General features: G+C 46.8%; 1 protein-coding gene, 1 long non-coding RNA gene and 2 pseudogenes across 25 annotated transcripts in view; 1 reads left to right on the forward strand and 3 right to left on the reverse strand.

Moving 5' to 3' along the window:
* DBF4B (DBF4B-CDC7 kinase regulatory subunit) overlaps positions 1–26,019 on the forward strand; it is a 43,600-nt gene that overhangs the window by 6,263 nt on the left and 11,318 nt on the right. For 12 of the 24 annotated variants that reach the window (NR_148206.2, NM_145663.3, NM_025104.4 and 9 more), the window contains 7 exons: positions 7,953–8,095; positions 14,978–15,169; positions 16,038–16,088; positions 17,251–17,338; positions 19,163–19,236; positions 21,903–21,939; positions 23,452–23,497. Coding sequence is in view for 21 of the 24 variants with exons in the window: in NM_145663.3 (NP_663696.1) it covers positions 7,953–8,095; positions 14,978–15,169; positions 16,038–16,088; positions 17,251–17,338; positions 19,163–19,236; positions 21,903–21,939; positions 23,452–23,497 (631 nt within the window). In the remaining 3 variants the exon portion in view is untranslated. Of the gene's footprint in view, positions 1–4,312; positions 5,330–7,952; positions 8,096–14,954; positions 15,170–16,037; positions 16,089–16,421; positions 17,423–19,162; positions 19,237–21,902; positions 21,940–23,451; positions 23,498–26,019 lie in introns of those variants that run through there. The other 12 variants (XM_047436818.1, XM_047436821.1, XM_047436812.1 and 9 more) reach the window with 9 other exon arrangements.
* Positions 3,934–4,203, reverse strand: RN7SL819P (RNA, 7SL, cytoplasmic 819, pseudogene; annotated as a pseudogene).
* RPL6P26 (ribosomal protein L6 pseudogene 26) lies at positions 4,810–5,688 on the reverse strand (annotated as a pseudogene).
* On the reverse strand, positions 19,166–25,980 carry LOC107985044 (uncharacterized). The gene is made up of 3 exons (XR_001752906.1): positions 25,436–25,980; positions 22,029–22,496; positions 19,166–19,254 (listed from the first exon to the last, which is right to left on the reverse strand). It is a non-coding gene; the product is annotated as an uncharacterized LOC107985044 (long non-coding RNA).

The following is a 26,019-nucleotide window of genomic DNA, read 5'->3' on the forward strand; positions in this document are numbered from 1 at the left end:
TAGCTGGTCTCCAATATTGGCTACAATGTAAGTCAAATCCTGTCTTTCTCTTCAGTATTCTGAAATTCCATGACAGTGTGTCTTGATGTGGGACTTTTTTCATTTATGGAGCAGGTACCTTTCAATCTGTAACATCATTTTCTTTAGTTCTGGGAAATTTTTAGCATTATTTCTATAATATTTCTCCCTTCTATTTTCTCTTTTCTCTTTCTGGAACTTTTATTGTTTGGATATTAGATCTCATAGATTCTTCCTTTGATTTTCTTGTGGATTTTTGTTTGTTTGTTTTTGAGACGGAGTTTTGCTCTTGTTGCCCAGGCTGGAATGCAATGGTGCAATCTCAGCTCACTGCAACCTCTGACTCCCAAGTTCAAGTGATTCTCCAGTCTCAGCCTCCTAAGTAGCTGGGATTACAGGCACCCGCCACCTGGCTAATTTTTTGTATTTTTAGTAGAAATGGGGTTTCACCATGTTAGCCAGGCTGGTCTCAAACTCCTGACCTCAGGTGATCCACCCATCTCAGCCTCCCAAAGTGCTGGGATTACAGGTGTGAGCCACCACACCCGGCCAGTTTTCTTGTTTTTCTCTCCCATTTTGCATCTGTCTTTCATTCTGTTCTCTAGAAAATTTCCACAACTTAATCTCCAATTTTCGTTGAATTTTTAATTTCTATAACATTTATAAATTTCCAAGAGCTTTTTCTTTTCTGTGTGTTTCTTTTCTTACAGTGTCTTGTTGTGCTTAATGGATATAATGTATTCCCTTTCCTCTCCCTGGTTGTTAATTGTACTGTTTTTGTTTCTTTTTAGTTTTCTTCTGCTTCCTACATTATGTCTATTTCCTCTTCTTTTTTCTGTTTGTTAGCCTAATTTCTTTCTTTCTTTCTTTTTTTTTTTTTTTTTTTTTTTTTTTTGAGGCAGAGTCTTGCTCTGTCTCCCAGGCTGGAGTGCAATGGCGCGATCTCAGCTCAATGCAACCTCCCCCTCCCAGGTTCAAGCAATTCTCTTGCCTCAGCTTCCCAAGTAGCTAGGACCACAGGTGCATGCCACCACACCTGGCTAATTGTTTGTATTTTTGGTAGAGACGGGGTTTCACCATGTTGGCCAGGCTGGTCTTAAACTCCCGATCTGAGGTAATCCACCCGCCTCGGCCTCCCAAAGTGCTGGGATTACAAACGTGAGCCACCACACCCAGTCTAGCCTAATTTCTTGTTAGAAACTTCCTTTAAATGTCTGATGATCTTTGTTTACCTATTCATATTTAAGAGTGAGGAGAAGGGGTTGTCAACTTGATAGACTTCATTGTAAGCTGGGACCTGGCAATTTTGTGGGGGAGGGACCTCAGTTGTCACTAGTTTGTATGTTTTTGTCTTGAGCTAGTCAGTTCGCTAGAGAAGAGTCCTCCAAACCTCTCTCTGGTAAGTATAAGCTTGTCAGCATTCTGGGAGCTCACTGGGGCAACAGATCTGTAGGTCTTACTGTTCAGTATACAGATATTCTTTTGATCCCCTATGTTTTCACTGGGGCTTTATCTTTGCTTTCACCTGTGCCCAATGTTCCTCTAGTCCAGGGATTTTTTCAGCCCCAAGACTATTGACATTTTGAGCCAAGTAATTCTTTGTTTTCTGAGGTTGTCCTGTGCTTTGTAAGATACTAAGTGGCATCCCTGGCCTCCACCCGCTAGATGCCAGGAGCACACCCACTTCCCAGTTGTGCCAGCCAAAAACATTTCCAGAGGTTGCCAAGTATCCCCTGAGGGGAAAAATCTCCCCAGTTAAGAACCACGGCTCTAGTCTTCTGCTGGGGTGGGAGAGGGTTCTGAGAGTCTATTCCTTTTAAAGTCTTTCAAATAATTGGTATTTTAGCCTACTGTTTCATTCTAGCATTCTACTCTGTATGGTCCCTCTGATTGGGCCTTTCAGCTCTAATCAGCTTGCTTCTTGTTGGCTTAGGATTTAGCCTTCTCTTATCTCCTGTCTGTTTTTCACTCACCCATCTAATTTCCAGCGTCCAACATTTTGTAGCATCTCTTGCCTGTTGTCTTCTTGCCAGTTTCTTTATCTATTTTTATTCTTTTTCTGTCACTTTAGTGAGATTTGGAGAGAGAACAGAAGTTCTTGTATTCATCTTCCACATTTATGCAGAAGCCTGGATCATTATTTCTTCAAATATTTTCTTCTCTCCATTGTTTTTCCCCCTTTGCAACTCTTCTGGTGTTGTTGACATTTCTATCCCTATCCTCTGCATTTCTTAAATTCTCTGATGTCCATTTATTTATCTCTTTGTGATACCTTCTGAAAGAGTTACTCAACCTAATTTACCAGCTCACACTGTTCTATTTAGCTCATCTATTGATGTGGATAGATCTTTTCGTTTTTAATTTTAAAATAATTTCACAGTTATAAAAAAATTTCAAAAATAGTCAAAGGTTCCTACTCTTTACCCAGCTTCCCCAAATATTAACATCTATGTAATAATAGTACAATTAAAAAAATCCAGGCTGGGCGTGGTGGCTCACGCCTGTAATCCCAGCACTTTGGGAGGCCAAGGCAGGGGAATCATTTGAAGCTAGGATTTCGAGACCAGCCTGGCCAACATGGTGAAACCCTGTCTCTACTAAAAATACAAAAAAATTAGCTGGATGTAGTGGCAGGCACCTGTAATCCCAGCTACTTGGAAGGCTGAGGCAGGAGAATCACTTGAATCCGGGAGGCAGAGGTTGGACTGAGCCGAGATCGTGCCACTGCACTCTAGCCTGGGTACAAAGCAAGACCTGGTCTCAAAAAAAAAAAAAAAAAATCCAGGGGGCTAGGCGTGTTGGCTCATGCTTGTAATCCCAGCACTTTGGGAGGCTGAGGTGAGAAGATCACTTGAGCCCAGGAGTTCAAGACCAGAATGGGCAACATAGTGAGATCTTGTCTCTACAGAAAATCAAAAAAATTCGCCAGGTATGGTGGTGCGTGACATGGTGGTGCATGTGATCCCAGCTACTCAGGAGGCTCAGGGGGAGGATCCCTTGAGCCCAGGAGGTCAAGGCTGCAGTGAGCCATGATCACACCACTGCACTCTAGCCTGAGTGACAGAGTGAGATCCTGTCTCAAAAAAAAGAAAGAAAAGAAAATCCGGAAATTAATGTTGATATTATTAACTAATCTATAGATCTCATTCACATTTTACCAATTATCCCCCAATGTTCTTGTCCTGGTTTAAGATTACATGTTGCAGCTGGGCACGATGGCTCATGCCTGTAATCCCAGCACTTTGGGAGGCCGAGGCGGGCGGATCATGAGTTCAAGAGATCAAGACCATCCTGGCCAACATGGCTGTCTCTACTAAAAATACAAAAATTAGCTGGGCATGGTGGTGTGCGCCTGTAGTCCCAGCTACTTGGGAGGCTGAGGCAGGAGAATCGCTTGAACCTGGGAGGCAGAGGTTGCAGTGAGCCGAGATCGCACCACTGCACTCCAGCCTGGACGACAGAGCAAGACTCTATCTCAAAAAAAAAAAAAAAAAGGTTACATATTGCCTTTAATTATATCTCGTTAGTCTCCTCCTGAGAGGAGGTCCTCATTCTTTCTTTGTCTTTGATGACCTCAGTACTTTTGAAGTCACCTCTAAATTTGGGTTTGTTTGGTACGTCCACATGATTGAATTCAGCTAAAGCATTTTTGGCACAGAAGTGATGTTATCCCCTCTCCAGTATGTTATCAGGAGGCACATGATGAAGATAAGATAAATCTCATTAACTTCGATCCCTTGATTAAAAGTGGTGTCTGCTAGGTTTTTCCACTGAAAAGTTACTGTTTTACCTTCTGTAATTAATAACTATCTTACAGGAAGATACTTTGAGACTGTGCAAATACTGAAATTTAAATTGTTTTTCTTTTAGAGCTGGCTTTGGTGCCGCATGCCTGTAATCCCAGCTACTCGAGGCTCAGGCAGAAGAATCACTTCAACCCGGGAGACAGAGGTTGTAGTGAGCCAAGATCGCGCCACTGCACTCCAGCCTGGGTGACAGAGTGAGACTCCGTCTCAAAATAAATAAATTTTTTTTTTTTTGAGACGGAGTCTTGTTCTGTTGCCAGACTAGAGTGCAGTGGCGCGATCTTGGCTCACTGAAACCTCCAACTCCCTGGCTTAAGCAATTCTCCTGCCTCAGCCTCCCAAGTAGCTGGGATTACAGGCACGTGCCACCATGCCCAGCTAATTTTTGTATTTTTAGTAGAGACAGGGTTTCACCATGTTGGCCAGGATGCTCTTGATCTCCTGACCTCATTGTCCATCCGCCTCGGCCTCCCAAAGTGCTAGGATTACAAGCATGAGCCACCACGCCTGTCCTATTTTTTTTTTCTTAACAGCTTTTTTGAGTTATAGTTCACACACCACACAATTCATCCATATAAAGCGTACAATTCAGTGACTTAGTATGTTCACAGAATTGGGCAACCATCACCACAATCAATTTAGAGCACTTTTCTCACTCCAAAAAAGAATACCCATTAGCAGCCACTCACAAATTTCTCCTGACTCCCCAGCCCTAGTCATCTGCTAATGTACTTTCTGTTTCTATAAATTTGCCTCTTCTGGACATTTCATATAAATAGAGTCATAAAATGTGTAGTCTTTTGTGACTGATTTCTTTCACTTAGCATAATGCTTTTGCAGTTTATCCATGTGGTGCCATGTGTCAGTACATCATTCCTTTTTATTGTTGAGTAGTGTTCCATTATATGGATATACCACATTTTGTTTATCCATTCATCAAATGGACATATGAGTTTCCACTTTTTTTTTAAGAGACACAAACAAAATGTTATTAGGTTCTTAAGAAATTCAGAACACCAATTTGTGAGGATAAATTCCATTCGTTAGGGCAGACACAGATCACAGGTAGCCCTGGAGCTGAGGAAAGCTTTGATTTTTTTCTAAAACATGTGAGTCCACAGCTTTCTGATAAGTCTTGCGCTGCTCTGTAATCTATTTCTCTTTTTCTGTGTCAAAGGTCTCACCTTCCTGGTGTTTAGGCTTCCACACCTTCTTAAAGTAAGCACCAGTAAGACGTTTTGCAATTTTTACATTGCTGCTACCAATTTTGGTTGAGGTAGCAATGACAAATTTCTGGTGTGTTCTTCGTAGAGGAACTTGATTGAGGACCAGAGGTCCAGTCCCAAGACCAGCTGCTTCAGGAAAACCACCCTCGCCTCTGTGGCGCCCAGTGGTGATGATCAGAATCGTCCTGGAGGTGATGCTGGATCGCAGTTTTCTCACATGCTGACTGAAGGGTTTCTTTTGCCATGGCTCAACAGCTTTAGAGGCACATCTTCAGTAGGGTAATATCTAGGCATTTTGTGAAGTTTAACCACCTGGGTACCACTGTTCTTGTCAACACCAACTGGTTTTGTAACAGTTGCAAGAAACTTCTTTTTCTTTTCAACCTTGGATTTAGCAGCTGAGTACTTCTTCCTGGACGTGGTCTTTCTGGAATACATAGCAGATCGGGAATATCTGCAATTCCTCTGACAAGGACAGGATTGCAGCTGCAATGGGGCTTCCCTGTCTTAGACGTTTTAGCCTTGAGGTTGCCCCTTTTCACCTTGCCACCAACATCAGCTTTCTTGGCCTTAGGTTTCTTCTCTTTAGTATCTGGCTTCTCAGCTTTCTCACCCATCATCTTGCAAGATGGGAAAGACTCCACTTTTTGGCTATATGATTAATATTGCTATAAGCATTCATTTACAAGTTTTCATGTGGCTGTGTTTTCATTTCTCAAGGATATACCTAGGAGTAAAATTGCTGGGTCATACGGTAACTCTGTGTTTAACCTTTTGAGAAACTAACACATGGTTTTCCAATGTGACTGCACGATTCCACATTCCCTCCAGAAGTATATGAGGGTTCCAGTTTCTCATATCCTCACCAACACTTGCTATTATCTGGCTTTTTTTTTTTTTTAAGTCAATCTCGCTTGGTTTCCCAGGCTTGAATGCAGTAGTGTAATCTTAACTCTTAACTCACTGTAACCTCCACCTCCTGGGTTCAAACAATTCTCCTGCCTCAGCCTCCCGAGTAGCTGGGATTACAGGCGTGAACCACCACGCCCGGTTATTTTTTGTATTTTTAGTGGAGACGGGGTTTCACCATGTTGGCCAGGCTGGTCTCGAAGTCCTTATCTCAAGTGATCCACCTGCCTCAGCCTCCCAAAGTACTGGGATACAGGTGTGAAACACAGCACCTGGCCAAGATTTTAAAAATACTATGTTTTTCATGTCCATTATCTCCAACTAATTCTTCCCCCCCCCTCCCCTTTTTTGCGACAGAATCTCCCTCTGTTACCCAGACTGGAGTGCAGTGGCATGATCTCAGCTCACTGCAACATCTGTCTCCCAGGATCATGCAATTCTTGTGCCTCAGCCACCCAAGTAGCTGGGATTACAGGTGTGTACCACCATGCCCAGCTAATTTTTCTATTTTTAGTAGAGGCAGGGTTTTGCCATGTTGCCCAGGCTGGTCTCGAACTCCTGGCCTCAAGTAATGTGCCCACCTCGGCTTCCCAGAGTGCTGGGATTACAGGTATGAGCCACTGTGCCCGGCCTAATTCTTTTCTTTAACTGCTGTTCCTGCTTTATGTTTTCCTGTATCCTCCCTAGCCTTTTTGAGGATATTTATTATACTTCAATGGTTTTTCTTTTTCCTATCTGGTTCATTATTATGACAGATAGACAATCTATACCAGATAAAGTTTCTTTGGTAGTACTTGCTTTCTTCAGTTGCCTCATGTTTTCTTATACACAAATATCCCTTTGGGACATTAGCCACTCTGATTGGTAACGTGCTGCTCGAAGGAAGATCAAAAGCTTATGCCCTATCTCGTGTGTCCCTCCGCTGAGTTTAGGGATTGGAGGTTGCATAGAAGAGGAAACAACCCTGGCCAGGCATGGTGGCTCGCGCCTGTAATCCCAGCACTTTGGGAGGCCGAGGCGAGCAGATCACCTGAGGTCGGGAGTTTGTGACCAGCCTGACCAACATGGAGAAACCCTGACTCTACTAAAAATACAAAATTAGCCAGGCATGGTGGTGCATGCCTGTAATCCCAGCTACTGGGGAGGCTGAGGCAAGTGAATCGCTTGAACCTGGAAGAAGGAGGTTGCGATAAGCCGAGATCGCGCCATTGCACTCCAGCCTGGGCAACAAGAGCGAAACTCCGTTTCAAAAGGGAAAAAAAAAAAAGGAAACGACCCCACTATGGTGCAAAGCCCCTGGAATATGGGCTCATTCACTCTCCATTTGCAGCAGCATTCTGTGCTCTCCAACACACACACACACTTTGTCTTGTTGTTTTTCAAGAGCTGTCTTTTTGAGTTATAATTACCTAAGTTACCAAATGCAGAGGTTGGGAAGTAGGCCCATTCAGGAGCCAACAAGTTCACTGTCCCCTTTTCCTCTTATCTGTCTCGAATACACATGCATATTCGCCCTAAGCTAGGCGGCAACACTGCCATGATGTTACCCTGCTGACTCTGGTTAGGGGCTGGGCACTGGCAACAGGGCAGGCAGTGACTCACTCAGCACAGCTAGAAAGCATCCTCCTGCCTGGCACCCCCGTGTGAATCTCGGCCCTCTTTTCCCTAGTTTACTATTCACTGCAGCCCCCCAATGTCTGGTTTGGGGATCTGTCTAATTTCTTTTTACTTAAATGGCTTCCCTAGATTTAGATTCTAAGGAAGAAGTGAAGAAGTCAGCAAGCCTTGTTTGCTTATTATCTTGTTTGGAAGGTTCCAATTTCACCACATCTGAGCTTCTGAGGGTAAGGGCATTGGCTTCACAGCTGTCTGTGTGTGCCCAGGGTCTAGTCTGTGCTATTATAGCACACAGACTGAGCTGTCAGTGAGGGCCACCTGGCTTCAGGACTCTCTTTTCAAACTTCTTACTTTGCTCCTCTTTATTGTTTTCTAGGAGTTTCCAGGTGTCTAGGAAAATGCCAGAAGAACTCACCAGGTGCCAGGAAGCATCCCTTTTCCGGAAAGTCCTTTTACTTGGATCTGCCTGCTGGCAAGAATCTCCAGTTTTTGACGGGGGCCATTCAGCAACTGGGTGGGGTAGGTAACCTGCTCTTCTCCTGCGATGCCATGTGCCTTTGCAGGCTTAGAGCAGGAGTTGGATGGGGATTATATCTATGGTTTCCAAGTATTTTCTTTTTTGAGACAGAGTCTTGCTCTATAACCCAGGCTGGAGTGCAGTGGCATGATCTCAGCTCACTGCAACCTCTGCCTCCCGGGTTCAAGCAATTCTCCTGCCTCAACCTCCCAGGTAGCTGAGATGACAGGCACACACCACCACGTCTGGCTAATTTTTTGTATTTTAGTAGAGATGGGGTTTCACCTTGTTGGCCAGGGTGGTCTTGAACTCCTGACCTCATGATCTGCCAACCTCGGCTTCCCAAAGTGCTGGGATTACAGGCGTGAGCCACCACACCCAGCAGTTTCCAGGTATTTTCAGCGGTCTCACTACATTTCCGAAAGCAATTTTAAATATAAACCATTTTTTTGGCCAGGCGCAGTGGCTCACACCTGTAATCCCAGCACTCTGGGAGGCCAAGGCAGGTGGATTACTTGACGTCAGGAGTTAGGGACTAACTACCCTGGCCTAAATGACAAAACCCTGTCTCTACTAAAAATAATGAAAATTAGCCAGGCATCATAGTGGGCACCTATAGTCCCAGCTGCTCAGGAGGCTAAGGCAGGAGGATTGTTTGGACCTGGGAGGCGGAGTTTGCAGTAAGCCGAGATTGTACCACTGCACTCCAGCCTGGGAGACAGAGTGAGACTCTGTATAAAAAAAAAAAAATGATAAATAAATAACCTTCAAAAAATAAAGATAAATCTTTTTCCTTATTAGAAACTTAGGCTGGGCACAGTGGCTCATGACTGTCCTCCCAGCACTTCGGGAGGCTGAGGAGGACAGATCACTTGAGTCCAGGAGTTCAAGATCAGCCTGGCAACATGGCGAGAGCCCGTCTCTACAAAACATACAAAAAATTAAGCGGGTGTGGTGGTGCATGACTGTAGTTGGGAGGCTGAGGTAGGAGGATCACTTGAGCCCAAAAGGCGGAGGTTACAGTGAGCTGAAGTCGAGGTCTTGCACCACTGCATTCCAGCCTGGGCAACAGAGTGAGACCTTGTCTCAAAAAAAGGCTGGGTGCGGTGGCTCACACCTGTAATCCTAGCACTTTGGGAGGCCGAGCCAGGTGGATCTCTTGAGCCCAGGAGTTTAGATCACCCTGGCCAACATGGCAAAACCCTGTCTCTACTAAAAATACAAAAATTAGCCAGGTACAGTGGCACATGCCTGTAGTCTCCGTTACTCAGTAGGCTGAGGCATGAGACTCGCTTGAGCCCCGGGAGGCAGTCCAGCTAGGGTGACACAGCATGACCCTGTCTCAAAAAAAAAGAGAAACTTTTTTTTTTTTTCTGAGACAGTGTCTCGCTCTGTCACCCAGGCTGGAGTGCAGCGGCGCCATCTCAGCTCACTGAAAGCTCTGCCTCACGGGTTCATGCCATTCTCCTGCCTCAGCCTCCCAAGTAGCTGGGACTACAGGCGCCTATCACCACGCCCGGCTAATTTTTTTTGTATTTTTAGTAGAGACGAGGTTTCACCGTGTTAGCCAGGATGGTCTTGATCTCCTGACCTCGTGATCCTCCCGCCTTGGCCTCCCAAAGTGCTGGGATTATAGGCGTGAGCCACCATGCCCAGCCAAAAAAAAGGAAACTTAATGGCCAGTTGTGGTGGCTCATACCTGTGATCTCAACACTTTGGGAGGCTGAGGTGGGAGGATTGCTGGAGTCCAGGAGTTTGAGACCAGCCTGGGCAACATAGTGAGACCTCATCTCTACGAAAAATAAAATTATAGCTGCCGGGCACGGTGGCTTACTCCTGTAATCCCGGCACTTTGGGAGGCCCAGGTGGGCAGATCACCTAAGGTCAGGAGTTTGAGACCAGCCTGACCAACATGGAGAAACCCTGTCTCTACTAAAAATACAAAATTAGCCGGGTGTGGCGGCACATGCCTGTAATCCCAACTATGCAGGAGGCTGAGGCAGGAGAATCACTTAAACTCAGGTGGCAGAGGTTGCGGTGAGTCGAGATCACGCCATTGCACTCCAGCCTGGGCAACAAGAGCAAGACTCCATCTCAAAAAAAAAAAAAAAAAAAAAAACATTAGCTGGGGGCAGTGGCACATGCCTGTAGTCCAGCTACTCAGGAGGCTAAGCTGGGAGGATTATCTGAGCTCAGGAGTTTGAGGCTATAGTGAGCTATGATTGCACCACTACACTCCAGCCTGGATGACAGAGCAAGACCATGTCTCAAAAATAATGTTAAAATAAACAAACATATTATCTGTTCACTCTAGAAATTTTAGAGAACATGGAACTACTCCAAGTGACAACCAGCATTTTTAAGTATTTTTCTTTCCTCCCTTCCTCTCATAATGGCTTAATTTAGATATAATTCACATGTCATAAAATTCATCCGTTTAAAGTACACAGCTCAGTGGTTTTTAGTATATTCACAGAAATGTGTAAGTTGTATGATCGCATAGTCAATTGTAGAACATTTTCATCACCCCAAAAAGGAAACCCTGTACCCATTATCAGTCACTCCCTATATGCTTGGGCAACTCCCTATATCCTTGATACTCCTAGCCCTTGGTAATGCCCATCTACCTTCTGCCTCCATCCTGCCTTTGTTTTTTTGTGCTTCTTTTTTTTTTTTTTTTTTTTAAGAGGGGGCCACACTCAGTCACAGAGGCTAGAATGCAGGAGCGCGGTCATGGCTCACTACAGCTTCAACCTCCCCAGACTCAGGTGATCCTCCCGCCTCAGTCTCCCTGTAGCTGGGACTACAGGTGCTCGCCACCATGCCCTGCTCATTTTTGTATTTTTTGTGGAGGCAGAGTGTCGCCATGTTGCCCCAGACTGGTCACGACCTCCTGGATTCAAGTAATCCTCCCACCTCAGCCTCCCAAAGTACTGGGATTACAGGCCTGAGGCACTGCTACTGGCCCTTTTTCTTTCTTTTTTTTGAGACGGAGTCTTGCTCTTGTTGCCCAGGCTGGAGTGCAATGGTGCGATCTCAGCTCACTGCAACCTCCACCTCCCGGGTTCAAGCAATTCTCCTGCCTCAGCCTCCCAAGTAGCTGCAATTACAGGCATGCACCTCCATGCCTGGCTAATTTTGTATTTTTAGTGGAGACGGGGTTTCTCCATGTTGGTTAGGCTGGTCTCGAACTTCTGACCTCAGGTGAACCACCCACCTCAGCCTCCCAAAGTGCTGGGATTACAGGTGTGAGCCATCGCACCCGGCCCTTTTTTATTTATTTATTTATTTATTTATTTATTTATTTATTTATTTTTGCCTTACCCAGTTGCCTGCAAGAGGGAGCTGAGGGCAAGGCTGGGAGGGGCAGGGCAATGCTTATTTTTTTTCTAGCTATGATCATGAGTACTTTTTTTTTAATTTTAGAGACAGGGTCTCGCTGTGTTGGTCAGATTGGTCTTTTACTCTTGGCGTCAAGCAATCCCCCCACCTCAGCCTCCCAAAATGTTAGGATTACAGGCATGAGCCACAGCATCCAGCTGGCGTTAGTACATTTTTATTATCAATTTTTTACCCATAACCTTAAAGCGTTAGCACTTTTCTACCATTATTGCCCTTCATATGCATCATTTGCGGTGGGAATATAATATTCTTTTGAGTGGATTATTAATTTACTTAACTGTTGCTCTGTGGACATTTAGACTCTTAATAATTTTTAGCATTTAGAAATAACACAGGTGAACAACTTTGAGTAAAAAGCATTTGCTATATTTGATTCCATTAAAATATTTTTAGGGGCTAGGCACAGTGGCTCACACTTGTAATCCCAGCACTTTGGGAGGCCGAGGCGGGCGGATCACTTAAGGCCAAGAGTTCAAGGCCAGCCTGGCCAACATGGTGAAACACCATCTGTACTGAAAATACAACAATTAGCTGCGTGTGGTGGTATGCGCCTGTAATCCCAGCTACTCGGGAGGCTGAGGCAGGAGAATTGCTTGAAACCGGGAGGTGGAGGTTGCAGTGAGCCAAGATCGTGCCTCTGCACTCCAGCCTGGGCAACAAAGCAAGACTCCATCTCAAAAAAAAAAAAAAAAAAAAAAAACCATATATATATTTAGGCTAGGCTCAGTGGCTCGTGCCTGTAATCCCACTTTGGGAGGCTGAGGTGGGCAGATCACCTGAGGTCAGGAGTTCTACACCAGCCTGGCCAACATGATGAAACCTTGTCTCTACTAAAAATATAAAAAAATTAGCAGGGCATGGTAGCACGCACTTGTAGTCCCAGCTACTCGGGAGGCTGAGGCACAACAATCGCTTGGACCCGGGAGGCAGAGGTTCTAGTGAGCCAAAATTGTGCCATTGCACTCCAGCCCGGGCAACAGAGCAAGACTCTGTCTCAAAAAGAAAAAAAAAAGAAAACAGCATGATAGTGCTTGACCCAAAAGAGACTAATAACTGGGGAAACTGGATGAATAGGGCTTGGAATGGAGAGGCTCTTTGCTGTCAAACCCAGAAACTCAGGACTGCAGAAACTCAGTGGTGAGGATGGATAGAATGAGGATTATATAACCAAACTGGCCCATAATTACATTTTGAACTTTTAGTCCTTTCTGTCATTTAGCCTTTGCTATGTAAAACACCAACCCTACTTGGGCTTAAAGCAACAATTTATTTTCTATTTATTTATTTATTTTTAGACAAAGTTTTGCTCTTGATGCCCAGGCTGGAGTGCAATGGTGCGATCTTGGCTCACTGCAACCTCCAATTCCCAGGTGCAAGCGATTCTCCTTCCTCAGCCTCCAGAGTAGCTGGGTTTACAGGTGCCTGCCACCATGCCCGGGTAATTTTTTTTTTTTTTTTTTTTTTTTTGTACTTTTAGTGAAGACGAAGTTTCACCATGTTGGCCAGGCTGGTCTCAAACTCCTGACCTCAGGTGATCCACCTGCCTTGGCCTCCCAAAGTGCTAGGATTACAGGCATGAGCCACCACACCTGGCCAAAACAACAATTTATTATTTCTCATTATGCTGTGGGTTGGCTGGGTGGTTTATCTGGTGGTTTCAGCAGGGCTCACTCCTGAGGCTGGATTCAGCTGGACGGTCACCTGGGCTGGAAAGACCAAGATGGCCTCACTCACACATCTGGCACTCTGTGTCAGTTATCATAACTATATGCAATAAGCTAAACTAGCTGATTTAACATGGTGGTCTCAAGGCCACCTTCCCAGAAAGTGAGGCAGGAAGCTAAGGCCTCTGAGGCCTAGGCTCCAGAACTCACACATCATAATTTCCACATGTTCTATTGGTCCAATCGAGTCAGATTGAAGGGCATAAAAAAGTAGGTCCCACCTCCTAATGGCAGGAAGAGCAAAGTCATATTGCAAAGGAGTGGGTATACTGGGATGGGAGGAGGAATATATGGTCATTAACAATCTCCTATATTTATATAGGATAATCATTGATTGCCCTACTCCTACCCTCTAGCATTTGCTTTTGCTGTATTAAAAAAGGTAGATGCAGCCAGGCACGGTGGCTCACACCTGTAATCCCAGCACTTTGGGAGTCCAAGGCGGGCAGATCACAAGGTTAAGAGATCGAGACCATCCTGGCCAACATGGTGAAACCCCATCTCTACTAAAATTACAAAAATTAGCTGGGCGTGGTGGCATGCGCCTGTAGTCTCAGCTATTCGGGAGGCTGATGTAGGAGAATTGCTTGAACCTGGGAGGCGGAGGTTGCAGTGAGCTGAGATCGCATGACTGCACTCCAGCCTGGTGACAAAAAAAAGGTAGATGTGATCAGACACGGTGGCTCACACCTGTAATCCCAACACTTTGGGAGGCCAAGGTGGGCAGATCACTTGAGGTCAGGAGTTCCAGACCAGCCTGGCCAACATGGTGAAACCCCATCTCTTCTAAAAATACAAAAATTAGCCAGTGTGGTGGGACACACCTGTTGTCCCAGCTACTTGGGAGGCTGAGGCAGGAGAATTGCTTGAACCCGGGAGGTGGAGATTAGAGTGAGCCGAGATCATGCCACTGCACTACAGCCTGGGAGACAAAGTGAGACCTTGTCTCAAAAAAAGAAAAGAAAAGAAAAAAAAAGGTAAATGTAATCCTTCAATTCATAACTAATTTTTTTAATAGTGGTAAAGTGTATATAACATAAAATAAGCCATTTTAGCCTTTTTTTTTCTTTTTTTTTTAGAGACAGGATTTCACTCCCCAAGCTGGAGTGTAGTAGTGTAGTCATAGCTCACTGCATCACTGAACTACTGGGCTCAAGTGATGCTCCTGCCTCAGACTCCCAAGTAGCTAGGACTATAGGTGCATGTAACAACACCCAGCTAATTAAAAAAAAAAAAAATTTTAGAGACAGGATCTTACTATGTTGCCCAGGCAGGTCTTGAACTCCTGACCTCAATTGATCCTCCCACCTCAGCCTCCTACAGTGCTAGGATTACAGGTATCAGCCACCACACCTGGTCCCCAGTGTGTCTTACACAGAAAAATCACAGCTTACACAATCTAGTCTTAATCCTTTCCAGCTCTTTCAGTGTGTTCTTGCTGCATGCAAACTCAAACTGCTCATAGAACTCAAAGCCCGCAGCCTTCTGCCACTGGGTCAGGGGCAGCAGTCCTGTAGACAAAACCTGTAATACACATACACACACACACACACACACACACACACACACACACACACACACCCCATTAGATTTCAGGATGATGTCTTCTTAGGAACTTGGTATGAAACTGCATTTAGTCTATTTAAAGACATTGATTCTGGAACTCCTGGCAGCCAAGATTTCCTTCTCCAGCCTCTTTATATTGACAATTCTGCATTTGCTTTTTGGTTTTCAGCCACCTCTGTGATCTGGTTTCAGGTAATTGAGGGTTTTCTGAGCAAAGAAGTAAGTTACATCGTGTCCAGCCGCAGAGAAGTAAAGGCAGAGAGCAGTGGGAAAAGCCATAGAGGCTGCCCTAGCCCTAGCCCCAGTGAGGTCAGAGTGGAAACATCGGCCATGGTTGATCCAAAAGGCAGCCACCCCAGGCCTTCACGGAAACCCGTTGACTCGGTAAGAACCTCATGTAGGAAAGGTATGCTGTGTAAACAAAGGAAGTAGGCTTTGGTGAGCCTTTTAAGGCAGTCTCTGGTTTTAATTTCATCTGGATTAATTTAATCTCTCATTTGAATTCAGGGACTGAGAATATTTTATCATAGCTCTGGATCTAAACACCTCAGCAACATACTATCCCCCATGCTACCCTTTTATGCCTTATGTCAGTTTTTACGGGACTTGAAAGTCAGAGGTTTAGAAACCAGAGGAGAGTCTTCATAAACCAGAGAAGACGTGTTGGGATTGGTCTGCGCTTGGGCAGGAGTACCCTGAGTAGGCAGCCATTCCCTTCTTCCTTGCTTGCATGTATGAAGGGCCAAGAGTTTGGACAATACACATGTTATGTCTTTGATTTAAAATGGAATATGGCTTTTCCCCTCTAGGCTTGCATTCTTATTTTGTCTAACATATTAATATTAAAATGTCCATGAACATACACTGTTGGCATTGTGATGACAGATGGGACTTCCTACGAGCAAAAATTTCTAAAGTGAAACATTTGCTTTCATTATCTCCTGGAGGGTGCAGAGACTCTTAAAGAGGGTCTCAGGACATTTGTAACAATTGGATCTCAGTGAATTCAGAGTGCCCTTCTCTCCACCAGGTTCAGGCTGCCACCTCAGGGTGACCTAAATTTCCTGTGGCTTTACCTTTACCTCCTAAACGTTTTCTAGGCTCTCATTTCTACCAATCCTCAGTTGTCACTGCTCCCAGCTTTCCGAGGGACATAACCCCAAGACATAACCCCTCACCAGCTCCTGTGTAAACATCTTTCAGTGCACAGGTGGCCTAACAGCAGACCTCACTGCTCTTCTGTCCCTGTCAGGTGCCTCTAAGCAGAGGGAAGGAGCTGCTGCAGAAGGCTATCAGAAACCAGGTGAGCTGGGGCAAGATGGGACAGAGCCGGTGGTCTCCAGCATAGGGAGGGATTTCACTCTTCTTCCCAGGTTCTTCTGAAGCACCCACACAAAATGCACACTCTGCGATATGTAGTATTGTCATTATTTCCTTCTTCTACATCAGGTAGTGGAGGCTCAGACAAGTTATTTAGCCATTCACCTAGAGAGTAAGTGTTGAAGCCAGAGCCACCTCCAACTCTGGAGCCTACCAAGAGAACTGTGGGGATGTGGGATGTGGCGGGACAGGGTTGCTGGGTACAGAAGCCAGACTTCTTTTACAAGTAACTCTAGGCTGGGTGTGGTGGCTCACGCCTATAATCCCAGCACTTTGGGAGGCTGAGGTGGGTGGACCACTTGAGGCCAGGAGTTCAAGACCAGCTTGGCCAACATGGCGAAACCCCATCTCTACCGAAAAATTAGCAGGGTGTGGTGGCACGCACCTGTAGTCCCCGCTACGCAGGTGGCTGAAGCAGAAGAATCACTTGAACCTGAGAGGTGGAGGTTGCAGTGAGCCGAGATTGTGCCACTGCACTCCAGCCTGGGCGATAGAGCTAGACTCTGTCTCAAAAAAAAAACAAAAAACAAGTAACTCTTTATTCCTTGTGTGAAAATCCAGGGCTGTTAAAGTTTAGTGGCAGGAGGAGGAGTTAAGGTGATCTTGTGAGAAGAGTCATGCTGGTGACATCAGGAGGGGTACATGGCTGTGATGGGGGAGGTGGTGCTGCTGGACTGAGCCAGTGGAGGGGGAAGATCTGCAGCTAGCATAGTTTCATGCTCAGTGAGGATGATGGTCACCGTGTTTGTTGTGTACTTACTGTGCTGAGAGCTTTCCTCGCAGAGGCCCTCCCAACGAACAGCTCTCTCAGAAGCATCTGTTCCTTCCTGGTCACGAGGTGGCCAGAGCACAATGTATAGGCAGACCAGTGGTCCTTCCTCTCCCAATGTGGCCATGTGGAGGACAGGATGTCTTCCTGGGGGTTGGGATGGACTCTCTGGGCACTGTACTCTCTCTCCTACCTGCCTCCCTGCAGTCCCTCCCATGGATGACTCAGGCCTCCCAGAAGCAATTTCTATCTGTCCCCTTCACTTTCAGGCCTTGGGGAGTCTCTGCTCCTACCTGACTCTGTGTTGTAATTTCAGGGGAGCATCAGTGGAGGAGGCAGTGGGGGCAGCAGCAGCCTCCTGACCAATGCCCGCTCTTGGGGAGTGAGGATTCTGCACGTGGATGGTACCCTTTCTGTGCTGGGCTCCTGTGGAGGGAGAATTGGTGACTTTGACCAGGAGTGTCAGCTTTTAGAAGGATCATGGTCATGTGAGCTTCTGGTCACCGGAAGCCAGAAATACTCAGCTGCCATGTTGATCCACAAAGGTGGGAGGATGTGGGGAAGGGGGAAAGCGGTGAGGACGCAGAGTGCAGGCTGTGGCCTCGGCATCCCGCAGGAGGTCCCTAGAACATGCCGTTTCATGTCACCTGCTACAGCTCTCCCCCAGCTAGTATGATGATCCTGTTTTACAAATGCAGAAATGATCTTAATATTCATGACCACTGGCCAGGCGAGGTGGCTCACACCTGTAATCCCAGCACTTTGGGAGGCCAAGGCGGGTGGATCACAAGGTCAAGAGTTCGAGACCAGCCTGACCAACGTGGTGAAACCCCGTCTCTACTAAAAATAGAAGCATTAGCCGAGCCTGGTGGTGCGTGCCTGTAATCCCAGCTACTCAGGAGGCTGAGGCAGGAGAATCACTTGAACCCAGGAGGCAGAGGTTGCAGTCAGCCAAGATCATGCTACTGCACTCCAGCCTGGGTGACAGAGCGAGACTCCGTCTCAAAAAAAAAAAAAAATTCGGCCAGGTGCGGTGGCTCACGCTTGTAATCCCAGCACTTTGGGAGGCCGAGGCAGGCAGATCACGAGGTCAGGATATCGAGACCATCCTGGCTAACACGGTGAAACCCCTTTTCTACTAAAAATACAAAAAATCAGCCGGGCGTGGTGGCGGGCGCCTGTAGTCCCAGCTACTCGGGAGGCTGAGGCAGGAGAATGGCGTGAACCTGGGAGGCGGAGCTTGCAGTGAGCCGAGATTGCGCCACTGCACTCCAGCCTGGGCGACAGAGCGAGACTCCGTCTCAAAAAAAAAAAAAAAAATTCATGGCCACCTAACAGGTATTGACTCTGTGCTACGAATTACCTCATTTAATCCTCACTACAGTCCTGTCCCCATTATACAGATGAGGAAATTGAGCCTCAAAGGGATTAGGCAAATTGTCCATGGTCTCACCAGAGTGTGTAGTGTGGCCCACCACTCTCAGTTTTACTCAGCTGTAAATTTTGTGCTCCTTCTTTTTTCACACTGTAAACAACCTGTTTGCAGCCTGTTTACACTAGAATAGTTGTCTTGAACCAGGTGGCAGTGAGTGGTTTCATACCCAGCTCCATTCTTGAGTCTGGAGTTTTCTGTGATCCATTTTAGAGGATTGGTCCAGATGGGACAGCCCATAGGTGCTGACTGGGGCGCTGCCCCACCCCTTGGTACCAAGATCTTCCAGGGGAGTCTAGAGGCTGTACAGGGGAAGTTCCTGGTCTGGGATGTGGAGGGCTTCATCTCACTGAAAAATCAGCCATTTCTGACTTGATTTCCTTCCCTGCCTTTCTCTGTTAGAGGAGTGCTAGCATGTTTAGCCCTTGCTGGTCTTTCACCTGAGGGTACAGCTGAGTAGTTCACACAGCATGGCCTCCCTCACAGCCACAGCTCTTCAGTGGTGCCTTAAAGTCCTTAGCAAGCCATGAGGCACCTTCTGTTCAAAGATGAGTTGTATTCAATGCTGCAAAAGAGCATGACACCCGCTCAGGTGCTGTTCCAGGGATAGAGGACCCAGTCCTTAACCTCCGCTGTCAGGAGATGCAGAGGGGATGTGTAGCCAGAAGGTGGCAGGCAAGGCTGGAGTGATTCAGTGGGCTGGCCCAGCGAGTTTAGTCCTGCAGCCCAGGAAGGGGCTGTGCTAGGTAAGTGAAGACTGGAAGCCTTTGGCACAAACCCTCTGTCTTCTCCACAGAAATGATGATGCACGTGCAACAGCTGTCTCTTGCGTCTTTATGTGTGAAAAAACAACAGCCAAAGAAGCCAGAGGTAGGTCATCCTGCTGAACTGAAGGACAAATGGATGGTTTTCAATGAAATCAGTGACAACTTAGGTAAATCCATGGCCCACCCAAACCATCTCTTCCTGGCCATTCTGAAAGATGGAAGAGGAATGCAGCCTCTTATTTACCTCAGTCCTAGTGCCCATAGCTTTGCAACACCCTTTCTTCTCTCTTCTCTGTGGCACTTGCAGTCCTCCCATGGCACACACCCTGCTGAGACATCCCTATGGCCTGGACTGCCTGGGCCATGGGCTCCCTACAGTAGTTCTGGACCAGATAAAGTTCATAAATGCCCATGGCACTGACCAGGCTGCTATTCTGGAACTTTCCCTGTACAGCCTCTAGACTGGGAACGAGTCTGCATACTGCAGGGGTGAGAAGGAGTGATTGAAATAGCTGCCATCTTCTAAATCCTTGTTTGTTTTCCATTCTTTGCTGGCGTTAGAACTGTGTGTACTACATCAAGAGAGCCCAACCTGGTTTAAAGCCACAGTATCTTCACCCAAGCCTCAATCTGAGGAAGGATTAAATCTACAGATCTACCCACAGCCTGGCATCCAGGCACAGGACGAACAGTAATAGCTATTAGTTAACAGTGCTAATTAGCTAACAGAACTAGCAAGCCACATCCAAAGTGGATGGAGCAGCTGGGCATGGTGGCTCACACCTGTAATTCCAGCACTTTGGGAGGCCAAGGCCAGCAGATCACTTGAGGTCAGGAGTTCAAGACCAGCCTGGCCAGTGTGGTGAAACCCCGACTGTGCTAAAAATACAAAAATTAGCCGGGCGTGGTGGCACATGCCTGTAATCCCAGCTACTCAGGAGGCTGAGGCAGGAGAATCTTGAACCCAGGAGACATGTTGCAATGAGTCATGATCGCACCACTGCACTCCAGCCTAGGCGACAGCAAAATTCTGTCTCAAAAAAACATAAAAAAATAGTGGATGGAGCATTCAGACACTGACGCCCTCTCCACACCCTCTCCTCTAGGAGTGTTGGGGACATTGCTGCTGTTAAATTTGTGTTATTCAAAATTCAAAAGGGTATACAACAAAAATTCTCGCCCTGCTCCAGCTTCTCCTCAACCACTGACCTTCCTCCCTGAAAGTGTGAACAGTTTCTAGGACTCTATGCACATAGAAGCAAATATGTCAAAAATTCCCCCCTTCTATGCAGATACACAGCATTTTTACTTTAACTTAATCAGTTTTGTAGGCCGGGCACAGTGGCTCACGCCTGTAATCCCAGTAATTTGGGAGACCGAGGCAGGTGAATCGCTTGAGGTCGGGAGTTTGAGACCAGTTGGCCAACATGGTGAAACCCTGTCTCTACTAAAATACAAAATTAGCCATGTGTGGTGGCGCATGCCTGTAATCCCAGCTACTTGGGAGGGTGAGGCAGGAGAATCGCTTGAACCCTGGAGACAAGTTGCAGTGAGCTGAGATCACACCACTGCACTCCAGCCTGGGCAACAGAGTGAGACTCTGTCTCAAAAAAAAGAAAAAAAAATTAGTTTTGTAGATATCTAGCAGTGAAGTGAGTTTTGGGTGTAATGTGCTGATACGCAAGGGAATGTGAGAGGCTTCTTTGGATTGTGTTTGCCCCCAAGGTGTGGCCTAGAGGAGAATCTGGAACTTCTTAAGGCCCAGAGGCACAGGTGGTCATGGATCCACCATCATCCTGGCCCTCCAGCTAAAGCTGATTTTTTTATTTTATTCCATTTATCTTACATTTATTTACTTATTTTTCAGGTATATACCAGAAGATCCATTTACTCTTTTTTCTTTTTATTTTATTTGTTTATTTTACTTTACTTTTTTTGTGAGACAAGGTCTGGCTCTGTCGCCCAGGCTGGAGTGCAGTGGCGCCATCTCTGTTCACTGCAACCTCCACCTCCTGGGCTCAAACCATCCTCCCACCTCAGCCTCCCAAGTAGCTAGGACTACGGGCATGCGCCACCATGCCTGGCTAATTTTTTTTTTTTTTTTTTAAAGATAGGGTCTTACTATGCTGCCCAGGCTGGTCTCAAACTTGTGAGCTCAAGCAATCCACCTGCCTCGGCCTACCAAAATGTTGAAATTACAGACGTGAGCCACCACGCCCGGCCTCCATTTACTTTTTAATATCAGCTTTGTTTGACCTTGGCTTAAACATTGATTTTGACCCACAGGATCAGAGTACACAAGATAGGACATAGGAAAGCAAATGGCTATCGTCTTTATCCTAGTCCTATAGGGTACCTGGAACAGCATCAGTACCTAGAAAATAAAGCTGCCATTTAGTGAGCATCTATTCTGTGCCACATGCGATGAGGTCGGTGGGTACTCTTCACATTGCAGGTGGCAGAGCTGAAGTACCCACCAGGCCTCTGGGACTCCAGAGTTCTTGCTCTCTGTACTGTCCTGCACTCCCTGCACAGTCAGCTGCCATTAAGATTCACACACCGAGTGCCCCCCTTATTCATCGTGTTGCCGAAGAGGGAGCCGTTGTGCCCAGGTCTGCTCCAGCTCAGGGCCTGAGAGTCTGGTTCTGCAGGCCTCTCAACAGCAGGAAGCAAAGTGGGACAGACTGGCAGCCACTTGGCTTATCAGGCCCAGTTCCTTGACCCCCGTGGCTTCCTCACATCCTTAACCTATTTTTCCTTTCCATTTAGGGAACATGTCCAGCAGCAGAGTCAAGAACACGGAAAGGTCAGTGTGGTAGCTTTTCCTCATCTAATTGCAATCCCTCCCTCCCTAAACACTTCCCCACGACTCCCTCTGTGGCAGCATCTGCTCACTTTTCTGTGGCAGCAAGCGAGTCCAGGTTATCTTGCCCCTTTGTGTTTCCAGGGCCTGGTCCTCAGGTTTCTGGAGCGAGAGAGGCATGCCCAAGAGCAAGTCCAGAGCTGCTGGGCCGGGGCTTCTCCTTTAGAGCCAAGACCCCATGCAGACACTTTGGCTCCTGTGTCCTCTGGCTGTTCCTGGGCATCGATTGAGGTTCAGCATCCTTTTCCTTCTGATTCAGTAGCAGTTTGGGGGTGGGCAGTTTGACAGCTGCCTACCGTTTTCAGAACTGCCAAACTCCGTGAAACTGACAAACTGGCAGATTGATGGACTCCGTCTCCTGGTTCCTCTTGGACAGCAGGAGAGTTGCTCCCCCTGGATGTTTCTCCCAAAGATGCTCTTTCAGTGGCATTTATTCATGCACAAGCAGGAGCTAAGAAAAGTCACTTGGCACCTCTCTCATGCTCAAAATTCAAGGAAGTCTGTAGGGGAATTGATTTTAATAACTGTCTCAGTTAATTAGAAAGACAAGAAATTGTCCCCAAAAAGTAATTAATGAGAGCTGCTGCTAAAGGAGAAAAGGCTGCTTTTTGCTTGGGTGCTACTGGTGGCCTCAAGTACAGTTGGGAGCTGTAAGGTGCCAGCGTCTTTGGGGAATTTATGGCTGTCAGATGGGCCCAGGATTTCAGCTGCCTTGGCTGCCCCTTCGACAGGACTCCTGGTCACTGTGGGTCCTGATGCCTAAGGGATTTTGTAAGCTATGCGAATAACTATCTAATAGGGGTGAGTCTCTTAATTGACTCCAAATTCATCTTCTCAGCACTCCTTTGCCCTATTTTTTCAGGAATCAGATTTTACCTGTGATATTTTTCTACCATCCTGCTAATAAGACCACTAAACACTCTTTATCCCTCTTCCTCTCTGCTTCCCCTCCAAAAAACCCAGGGTCCTCCTGGAGCATTCTGCCTGGGAGTTGATCTTAGGCCCCTCAGTATCCTGAGGCTCCAGAAGCAAAGGGCTAGGAAGGACCTGGGACTTTGTGGGAATGACCACCCCCACCCTGCTTTTAGCAGAAGCCATCAGGGGCTGGGTTTCTCCCACCAAACCAGCCAGGTGTCTGATGGTGGTGGCATCTTTGGTTGGTCGATAGCCTCCAGAATCCACACACAGGAGCTCCTGCGTCCTGCAGAGGAAGGGCCCATCTAGGGCTTCAGTGTTAACTGCAGCCTATCCCCCCACTGGTGCAACCTTTCTCCCAGGGGTAGAGGCTGGAGATCTGAGTGAATGGAGAGCGCAGCCTGGGGTGGCATGATTTCCAGCTCTTGCAAGGCTCTTAGGCTTTGGCAGAGCCTTCCCTCTCAGCATTTCCTGCATGTGTGGTGCAGGCCCTGCACAGGGGCAGACAGATAGCTGATGTGTGCATTCTTCCCCTTTCAGTGGCCAGACTGAAGGCCCCGTTCCTCAAAATCGAAGATGAAAGCAGGTGAGTGGGACCTCCTTTCTCTGCTTGCCCCAGCTAGGCCTGCACAGAGGAGGGAGGAGGGAGGGGTGCTCAGGGGCCTCAAGCTAATGTGAAGACATGGAGCCCCTTAACCCTGCACCTTCATCTTCCTGAGAAGCCACTTTCTCCCATTGTCATGGAGAAGTCTCATGCAAACCAGGAGGAGCCTCAGAGTGGCATTATACAGTGAATAGTCCTCTTGGAGATGAGTCAGAGGTTAATGATCCTGTGTGTGAATTACCTCCATTTAATACTCTGCTCTATGAGCTCATGGTGTCCCATGCAGGCTCATTATTGCAACTCCTTTCCCCTTGGGTGTATGCTGACATTTCATGTCAAATCATTACCCAGTCACAGTGCTAGTATAGTCCAAGACATCATCTTGGCTGAAATTAGGGTGCTAGGGGTGGTACTGGGGATTCCCTTGTCAGGCCACCCTGTACTTGATAAAGCCTTTCTGTTTCACTTTGAAAATCGTTTTCTGGCTCATGTTACCTCCTGACAGCCCTGGGTGAAAAAAGCATGAGGAGAGCCCATCTCTTCCTAATGGGGAAAACTGAGGTCAGAGAAAGGAAGGGACTTGTGTACAGCCACCTTGCTAATAAATTGCAGCCTAAGGCTAGAATCCAGGTGTCCTGCCTACCCTGTCTTGTGTCTTCTCTGTCCACCATTATGATCTCCTCTTCCCTCGGAGCAGGAGGGTCCCATGACAATGTTAACCTAATGAGCTATTAGCAGCCATGTTGGTTATCACTGAATCTTCAGTAAGTACAAGATCGAAAGTGTATGTGAATCTATAATTATCTCAAAATTTAAATTTTTGTTTTTAATATTTTTTCCAAAAAGGCATTTTCAGACTAAATAAATTTTTTAAAGGAAATAAGTCCATGTGTATCCAGCAGAGACTACTGAGGACAGAATTGTCTGTGTGCCTCAGACAGGGAAGGGCAGGGCAGCTGAGACCAGCCCTAGGAGCCTGGCATGCCTGCCCATCCTCCAGACAAGCCCAGGGTCACTTCTCAGCACCTGCAGACAGTGCTGCGCTGGCTTTGGTGGCCCAAAGGCAAGTGGAGAGAACAATGGGATGGTACAGAGGTGCTGTCTTCCAGTTCCAGTGGGATGGATTGCGTGTTCATCCCCAGCCCCTTCACACCTATTTAAATGTAGGTAATCATGACACATATGCAACGGCTGAAAGGCACTGTTACAGCCTCAGTATCTGCACTGCACATGGCAGGCACAGGTATATCACTGTCACCAGAGAGGGGTACACATATTCCTGGCATTATAGGCCAGAGAGGAGATCCAACTGGAGCTGAGATTTCTTGTGAAATTTTTTTTTTTTTGAGACGGAGTCTCACTCCATCACCTAGGCTGGAGTGCGGTGGCACAATCTCGGCTCACTGCAACCCCTGCCTCCCAGATTCAAGCGATTCTTCTGCCTCCCGAGTAGCTGGGACTAAAGGTGTTCACCACCACGCCCAGCTAATTTTTGTATTTTTTGTAGAGACGGGGTTTGGCCATGTTGGCCTGGCTGATCACAAACTGGCCTCAGGTGATCCACCTGCCTTGGCCTCCCAAAGTGCTGGAATTACAGGTGGGAGCCACAGTGCCCAGCCTCTTGTGATTTTTTTTTTATGTGCTGTTTTGAAGCAGGTGCATTCAAAGCCTATTAGGCCTATTAGCCTGCCCATCCTCAAGTTTCAAGCCCCCTAAGCAGAAACAATATCATTGAAGAAGAAAGAAACATGCCAGGGTTGTGAGGGGTACCCCCTTCTCCTTAAGGGTCCAAGAAGACTTATTTGTTAATTCACTGCTGAGCTACAGTACTCTTACCCTGCTCCCTGAGAACCCCTGGCTTGCACTGTTTCCCCCAGAACATGGACCATTGCAACCAAACATGGTGCACCCGGCAGTTACCTCACTTGGCAGGGTTTGCGAAGTATACACAGATCACTTCTGTCTCTGCAAATCTCTTAAATGTTTGCAACTTGAGGCACACTGCCAGAACCACTCAGTCCAGGTCTGACTATCCAGAACCTTCACTGTGCCTGTCTTCTCCTTTCAGAACCCAGCCCTCAGATAGTTCTAAGGACCAGCAAGAACACTTCACAGAACAGGGAAATAACTGTTCTGGTTTAAACATTCTTCCATTTAGAATCTGCCAGGCTAGAGTCCTCAAAGATTGTTGTAGGGTCAAGAAACAAATGGGAAGGTGGGGAAAAGTAGATCAGGAGTCTGGAGATGTGGCTTCTGATCTGACCTTGGCTGCTTAACTATTTGTGAGCCCTTGAGCAAGTCACAGAACCTCTTGGGCTTCATTTCCTTAGATATAAAATAGGATAAGCCCAGAGGGTGCTTATAGGATTCCAGGGAGGCAGTGGTATGAGTTTGAAAAGTAGACAGGGAGGGGCCGGGCGTGGTGGCTCACGCCTGTAATCCCAGCACTTTGGGAGGCTGAGGTGGGCAGATCACAAGGTCAGGAGATCGAGACCATCCTGGCT

This window comes from Homo sapiens, chromosome 17 (assembly GCF_000001405.40).
Source record: "Homo sapiens chromosome 17, GRCh38.p14 Primary Assembly".
NCBI lineage: Eukaryota > Metazoa > Chordata > Mammalia > Primates > Hominidae > Homo > Homo sapiens.